Source organism: Homo sapiens, chromosome 12 (genome assembly GCF_000001405.40).
Source record: "Homo sapiens chromosome 12, GRCh38.p14 Primary Assembly".
In the NCBI taxonomy this organism is placed as follows: Eukaryota; Metazoa; Chordata; class Mammalia; order Primates; family Hominidae; genus Homo; species Homo sapiens.
In genome coordinates, this window is record NC_000012.12 from 47397139 (window position 1) to 47405887 (window position 8749).

Below are 8749 nucleotides of genomic sequence, written 5' to 3' on the forward strand. Positions count from 1 at the left end.
CACATGTAGGCAACTCTGCAGGCATTTGGAGCACCTGTTAGCATGGACTAGAAGTCTAATTGGCCCTTTCTTCCTGTGCAGAGATCCTGGTGCAGGTGGCTCTCCCTGCTTCACCCCTAGGCATATCTTCAGGCATTTGGAGCACCTGCTCTCTTGGTTCAGCAGCCTGAGCCACCCCCACCCTTCCTGTGCATAGACTGTGGTACAGTAGGGCCCCCTCCACTGCAAGCAGATCTCCAGACATTCAAATCACCTTCTTGCTTGGTTCAGCAGCTGAAGTCACCCCACCCCTCCTGTACAGAGATCTTGGTGCAGGGGACTTTTTCTCTGCTTCATGGCCAGGGAGATCTTCAGGACCCTGGAGCACCACTCTCCTGGATTAGGAGTTTAGGCTGACACCCATCCCCATCCAGAGAACTTGGGGCTGAGGAGGTTTCCTAGCTCCATGCCTAGGCACACCTCTAGAAACTTGGTGGCAGCCCACTGGATTCTCCTTTGGCACTGGTGCTTATGCTTGCCATCAGGGGACGTGTAACTGGGCCTTCCAAGTTCGGCTCCACCCATCTTGCCCCACCCCTCCATTCCCTGGAGCTGAGAAGAGAGCTCAGACCACTGTGCATTCCATAAATGAGCCCATTGCCTGAGGCAACAAAGAGCTCCTCTCAGTAAACAAGGATCGGGTATATACCCAGCCATGTTGGCCACAACCAGCTCTTACACATAAGTGACATCTACTGGCTTGTCTGTTTAACTGCACAGCCCCGTGTAATATCTAGAGAGTGTAGGAAGAGGGGAAGGGAAAGAAAAAGAAGAAAAGGCAATAATTTTATAGGGAAAGAAATAAAAACAAAAATCCTACCCACACAAAAATAATTACAAAAATTAGAAGTGCCAGCACTTCCAGATGAGAAGGAATCAGAGCAAGAATTCTGGAACCATGAAAAATCTGAATGTGACAACATCAAAAGATCACAGTAGCTCTCCAGCAATGGTCCCTAACCCAGATGGAAACCCAGAAATTACAGATAAAGAATTCAAAGCATGAATTGCAAGGAAGCTCAATAAGATCCAAGACAAGGTTGAAAATCAACACAGGCCAGGTGCAGTGGCTCATGCCTGTAATCCCAAGACTTTGAGAGGCCAAGGCAGCAGGATCACTTGAGGTCAGGAGTTCAAGACCAGTCTGGCCAACATGGTGAAACCCTGTTTCTACTAAAAATACAAAAAATTAGCTGGGTGTGGTGGCGCACGTGTGTAGTCCCAGCTACTTGGGAGGCTGTGGCAGGAGAATCACTTGAGCTGGGAAGCGGAGGTACCAGTGAGCCAAGATCACACCACTGTACTCCAGCCTGGGTGACAAAGAAAGACTCCATCTAAAAAAAAAAAAAAAAAAATCAGCACAAGGAAACTTCTAAAGTAATCTGGGAAATGAAAGAAGAGATAAAACATCCTAAAAATAAATCAGTCAGAGCTTCTGGAATTGAAAAACTCACTTAGGGAATTTCAAAATACAACTGAAAGTTTTATCAATAGACTGCACCAAGCAGAAGAAAGAATTTCAGAGTTTGAAGACTGGTCTTTTGAACTAACCCACTTACACAAAAATTTTGTTAAAAAGAATTTTTTAAAGATAGTCTTTGAGAAATATAGAATTATGTCAAGTGACCAAACCTATGCATTGTTGGCATTCCTGAGAGACAAGAGAAAAAGTAAACAACCTGGAAAACATATTTGAGGAAATAATTCAAGAAAATTTTCCTAATCTTGCTAGAGAGGTAGACATCTGGATATAAGAAATCCAGAGAACATCTGTGACAAACTATTCAAAATGAACATAACAAAGAAATTAAGTCACTACACTGTCCAAGGTCAATATTAAAGAAAAAAAAATGTTAAAGGCAGCTAAAGACAGAGATCAGATCACATACAAAGGGAACCCTATCATGCTAACAGCAGACTTCTCAGTATAAACCTTACCAACCAAGATAGGCTGGTGGCCTATTTTCAGCATTCTAAAAGACAAGAAATTGTATTTCGCAGAGAAATACAAAAGACTCTCAGAGACTATTATGAACACCTCTGTGCACACAAACTAGAAAATTTAGAGGAAATGGATTAATTTCTGGAAACACACAAGGCCCCAAGATTGAATCAGGAAGAAGTTGAAACACTGGACAGATCAATGTGAAGTTCCAAAATTGAATCAGTCACAAAAAAAGCCCCAGACCAGATGGATTCACAGTTGGGTGAATTCTGCCAGATGTACAAAGAAGAGGTGGTACCAATTCTACTGAAACTATTCCAAGAAAACAAGGAGGAGGATGCCTCCCTAACTCATTCTGTGAAGCCGTCATCACCCTGATACCAAAACCTGGCAAAGACACAATGAAAAAAAGAAAACTACAGGCCAATGTCCCTGATGAACATAGACAAAAATAACTTTAACCAAATCCAACAAAACCAAATCTAACAGCACATCAAAAAACTAATTCACAATGATCAAGTAGGCTTCATTCGTGGGATGCAAGGTTGGTTCAGCTGTGCAAATCAATAAATGTGATTCACCATATAAACAGAATTAAAAACAAAAGCCGTATGATCATCTCAATAGACATGGAGAAAGCTTTTGATAAAAGCTAACATCCTTTAATCGTAAAAGCCCTTAACAAACTAGGCATTGAAGGAACATGCCTCAAAATAATAAGAGCCATCTATCACAAACCCACAGTCAATATCATACTGAATGGGAAAAAACTGGAAGCATTTCCCTTGAGAAAAAGAACATGACAAAGATGCCTACTCTCCTCACTGCTATTCAAAATAGCACCAGAAGTGCTAGCCAGAACAATCAGGTAAGATAAAAAAAAAAAAGACATCCAAATAGTAAAAGAAGAAGTCAAGCTATCTCTCTTTGCTGATGATATGATTCTACACCTAGAAAACCCTAAAGATTCTGCCAAAAGGGCTCTGGAACTTATAAACAACTTCAGTAAAGTTTCAGGATACAAAATCAATGTACAAAATTGGTAGCATTTCTATACACCAATAATATTCAAACTGAGAGACAAATTGAGAATGTAATTTCATTTACAGTAGCCAAAAAAAAAACCCTAAAATACCTAGGAATACATCTAACCAAAGAAGTGAAAGAGTTCTACAAGGAGAAGTACAAAATGCTACTAAAATAAATCATAGTTGACACAAACAAATGAGAAACATTTCTTACTCATTCCTTGCTCGTGGCTATTAAAGTAGCCACACTGCCCAAAGCAATCTACAGATTCAATGCTATTTCTATCAAACTACCAAGGTCATTACTCACAGAAGTAGAAAAAAGCTGTTCTAAAATTCATATGGAATCCCCAAAAAGCCTGACTGGCCAAAGCAAAGCAAAACTAATAAAGCCAGAGATATCATATTACCTGATTTCAAACTATACTACAAGGTTAGGCAACAGTAACTAAAACAGCATGGTATTGGTACAAAAACAGATGCATAAATCAATGAAAAAGATTAGGGAACTCAGAAATAAAGCCACCATCTACAGCCATCTGTTCTTTGACAAAGCTGACAAAAATAAGCAACGGGTAAAAGACTTCCTATTCAGTAAATGGTGCTTGGATAGCTGGCTAGCCATATGCAGAAGAATGAAACTGGACTCCTACCTCTCACCATATACAAAAATTAACTCAAGATTGATTAAAGATTTAAATATAAGACTTCAAACTATAAGGATTCTAGAAAAAGACCTAGGAAATATCATTCTGAACATTGGCCTTGGAAAGAATTTATGACTATGTCCTCAAAACCAATTGCAACAAAAACAAAAATTGACAAGTGGAACCCAATTAAACTAAAGACCTTCTGCAGAGCAAAAGAAACTATCAACAGAGTAAACAGACAACCTACAGGATGGGAGAAAATATTTGCAAACTATGCATTTGACAAAGGTCTAATATCCAGAATCTATAAGGAACTTAAACAATTGAACAAACAAAAACCAAATAACCCCATTCAGAAAGACATGAACAGACACTTCTCAAAGGAAGACATACAAGTGGCCAACAAGCATGAAAAAATGGTCCACATCTGATATGGTTGGGCTTTGTGTCCCTACCCAAATCTCATCTTGAATTGTAATCCCTATAATCCCCACACGTCAAGGGAGAGAACACGTGGAGATAATTGAATCATGGGGGTGGTTTCCCCCATGCTGTTCTCGTGACAGTGAGTTCTCATGAAATCTGATGGCTTTATAAAGGGCTCCTCCCCCTTCACTCAGCACTTCTCCTTTCTACTGCCTTTTGAAGAAGATGCCTTGCTTCCCCTTTGCCTTCCATCATGATTGTAAGTTTCCTGGGGCATCCCCAGCCATGCTGAACTGTGAGTCAATTAAACCTCTTTCCTTTATAAATTACCCAGTCTTAGGCAGTTGTTTATAGCAGTATGAAAATGGACTGATACAACATCACTAATCATTAGATAAATGCGAATTAAAGCCATAATACGATACCATCTCACACCAGTCAGAGTGGCTGTTAGTAAAAAGTCAAAAACAACAAATGTCAGCGAGGCTGAGAAAATAAGGGAATGCTCACACTCTGTTGGTAGGAATGTAAATTAATTCAGCCACGGTGGAAAGCAGTTTGGTGGTCTTTCAAAGAACTTAAAAGTGAATTACCATTTGACCTAGCAATCCCATTATTGGGTATATCCCCAAAGAAAAATAAATCATTCTACCAAAAAGACACATGCATTCATATGTTCATCACAGCATTATTCACAATAGTAAAGACATGGAATCAACCTAGGTGCCCAGCAATGGTGTACTGGATAATAAAAATGTGGTACACATACACCATGGTATACTATACAGCCATAAAAAGACTGAATGTCCTTTGCAGCAACATAGACATAGCTGGAGGCCATTATCCTAAGCAAATTAACACAGGAATAAAAACAACAAATATCACAAATTCCCACAAGTGTGAGCTAAATAAGCATTGGGTACTCAGGGACGTAAATATGACAGCAATAGATACTGGGGACTACTAGAGTGAGGAGGAAGGGAGTGGGGCAAGGATTCAATAACTATTGGTACTATGCTCAGTACCTGTGTGACAGGATCAATCATACCCCAAACCTTAGCATTGTGCAATATACCCATGTAACAAATCTGCACATTTCCCCCTTGAATCTAAAATAAAAGTTGAAATTAATAAAAAAAAATGAAACCAGGTTTGCTGGCCCTGATGCTAGCAGGCACACTAAGCAGTTGACTTCAGGGTACAACTTGAAAAGGACAGAAGCAGTTGACTTCAGGGTACAATTAGAAAAGGCCCAATTTAAAGTGTCCACTACCATCCTGTCTCAGATATGGAAATCCCACCATGAGTTTTGTCAGACTCAGTCTTGGTCCTTGCCCACACAGCATCCCTCAAATCCCCAATCAGTACCCATCAGATCTCCATTCCTGGCAAATGTGGGACCTACCACCTGTCCCTGGAACCCACTGAGACCTGAGGCTGAGGCTGTGCTAGATCACCCAACCAGCAGCCTAGTGACACTTAGAACATCTACAGAGCAGAGAAATAAAGGAGGGAAAGAATTTATGCTTGATTCATTTGGAGCATTACTGTCAGGCATGGTTCTAGTTGCTAGAGACACAGCAGAGAATTTATACCCTTAGATTTTAATAAGGGAAGACAGACAATAAACAAAATTTAAAACACCTTATATGGTATGTAAGAAGGTGATAACACATAACAGGGAAGGAGATAAAGAACGTGGGTTAAGGGGAAGTTAGAACTTTCCCGATATATATTTTTTAAAGCTCTGATGAGGTCATCATGAGAACAAATAAGATTTTTGTTGGTCTTTCATACAGTTATTATAGAGCTTCATGTTGTTTATATTTTGAATTACACATGGCAGGTGTGGGAGAAATGTGGGCATTTAGAACTCCTAATTTTGTCCAGAACCCAGGCAGAGCATGAAGTGCACCAGCCTCAGTCTGGGCCCAGTGTGATTACTAATATAAGACTCAACCTTTGCATCCTGATTCTAATCATTGCCACCTGCCATCTCCATGCCCAGACACACCCCTCTACCTAGGCCCAGGGCTGATGAGGATTCATGGATGCCCTGATTCTAGAAGCCTGTTCTGATGACCTCTCTGAGTTCAGTGCTCCCTGAGGTTCCAATTCTTATAGCTGGGTTTCTGTCTTGGTAACTCTTCTTCAGCTCAGAGTCTGGTCTTCTCTTTAAAGGAAACCTGAGGCCAGAGCTGTGCCTTGTTTTTGACAGTATCCATCCCTGAGGACTAGACAATCCTCCTGAGTCCAGTCCAGAGTGGGGCACCTTGTGATACACAGTTGGACCCCTAGCTTGCCTGCCTGCTATTTCAGAGACATCCACTGACCACAGTCGATAGGACAAGCCATCTATCCCATGGCCCTCCAACTTCAAGTCTGGCTCAGAACTTGACATACCCTGAGAAACTGACCTTGTTCCTCAAAGTGCTTTGAAGCTAGCCTAGACCCCTGGCTTCTTCATGCCTATGAGAAAGTGATATTGTAGGCTCCAGCCCCTCCTCTCTGACACTGCCCAGCAATAACTGGCCCTTTCAAATGCACGTCTATACTATCATCCTTTCCTTCAGAATTCTTCTCTCTCTCTCTTTTCTTCTCTCTCCCCTTTCTTCCTTCCTTCCTTTCTTTCTCTTTCTTTCTTTCTTTTTTTCTTTCTTTTTCTTTCCTTCTTTCTTTTCTTTCTTTCCTTCTTTCACAGCTTTATTAAAGTAATTTCCATTCCATGACTTTATTTTTAGTAAATTTAGAGCTATGTATATATCACCACATGCCAGTGTTCAAACAATTTCATCACCCCAATACACCCCTCATGTCCATTTGTAGTCTAGTGCCATTCTCACCTCCAACCCCAGGCAACCACTGACTTACTTTCTGTCTTTATAGACTTCGCTTTTCTGGACATTTCATGTACATAGAATCATGCAATGTGTGGTATTTTACATCTGATGTCTTTCACTTAACATACTGTTTTGAAGATGTGTCTATGTCATAGCATGTATTGGGAGTTTTTCCTTTTTATTGAATGAACATACCATATTTTATTTATCCATTCACTTGTCGATGGACATTTGGGTAGTTTCTAGTTCTGAATAATACTGCTCCATGAACATTCATGGACAAGTCTTTGCATGGACATGTGTTTTCATTCCTTTTCAGTTTTTTTTTTTAGCACAAATCATATTTAAAGTGGGAACATAATTAATCAATAATGCTTTGACTTAAGTTACTACAGCTTAAGAACTGGAGGACTGTAAGAGAGGAGAAATACAGTGGCCGAAAGGTGGAAAAAGGAACATAGGAGTAAATTCATCTCCTCAAGGGGCAAAGAGAGGAAACAAAGGCAGTCACAGCCCCATCCATGTGTCTCTGCTCCCTGGTTTAGATGGGAGAAAAATAAAGCAGCCTCCAGGGAAATGTAGCTTCATGTAATTATCATGTTTGATGAAAAAAGTCAATCAATTGTTGAGGTGTTTTCAAATATGCAACTGTTCCACATGCATGGATGGAAGGTCCTGGTGCCATCCTTTGCTTCTCACTCTCCTTCACCTCCCCATTCCACTGCCATCACCCAAGTCCAGACCCATCATTCTTTTTTGCATGGACCACTGGCCTCCTTATCTGCTAACTGAATTTCTTCTCTTCTTTCTCCATGCACTTCCAGAGTACTCCTTCTTTAGGATAAATCTGACCATGCCACTCTTCTGATAAAACCGATCGAGGTTCCCCAAGACCCCAGCTTGTGTCATTGGTCTCATTTCTCACCAGCGGCTACTCTGCTCCTATTACCCGCTCCTTCATAGATTACCTTTATTGAGGTAATTCACATTCTATGATTTTTTTTTTTTTTTAGACGGAGTCTCGCCCTGTCGCCCAGGCTGGAGTGCAGTGGCGCCATCTCGGCTCACTGCAAGCTCCGCCTCCCAGGTTCATGCCGTTCTCCTGCCTCAGCCTCCCGAGTAGCTGGGACTACAGGTACCCACCACCACGCCCGGCTAATTTTATATATATATATATATATATATATATATATATATATATATATATATATATATATATATTTTTTTTTTTTTTTTTTTTTTTTTGGATTTTTAGTAGAGACTGGGTTTCAGCGTGTTAGCCAGGATGGTCTCGATTTCCTGACCTTGTGATCCGCACGCCTCGGCCTCCCAACGTGCTGGGATTACAGGCTTGAGCCACCACACCCGGCCACATTCTATGATTTTTTTAGGTAAATGTAGAGTTGTGCTGTTTTTAAGTAAATGTAGAGTTGTGCCCATATCACCACACGCCAGTGTGAGAACATTTTCATCACCCCATTTTCTTTTTTCTTTTTTTTTTTTTTTGAGGCGGAGTCTCGCTCTGTCCCCCAGGCTGGAGTGCAGTGGCGCGATCTCAGCTCAGCTCCGCATCCCGGGTTCACGCCATTCTCCTGCCTCAGCCTCCTGAGTAGCTGGGACTACAGGCGCCCGCCACCATGCCCGGCTAATTTTTTTTTTGGTATTTTTAGTAGAGACGGGGATTCCCCGTGTTAGCCAGGATGGTCTCGATCTCCTGACCTCGTGATCCGCCCTTCTCGGCCTCCCAAAGTGCTGGGATTACAGGTGTGAGCCACCGCGCCTGGCCCATCACCCCAATATTTCCATCACAGTATGTAGACA

At 41.3% G+C, this 8749-nt stretch overlaps 1 annotated feature.

Moving 5' to 3' along the window:
* Positions 650-699: a silencer, noted in NCBI's record as "silent region_4390". NCBI's record gives its function as "represses an Ori minimal core promoter by ATAC-STARR-seq in GM12878 lymphoblastoid cells {active_cell/tissue: GM12878}" and the evidence as "EXISTENCE:reporter gene assay evidence [ECO:0000049][PMID:35858748]".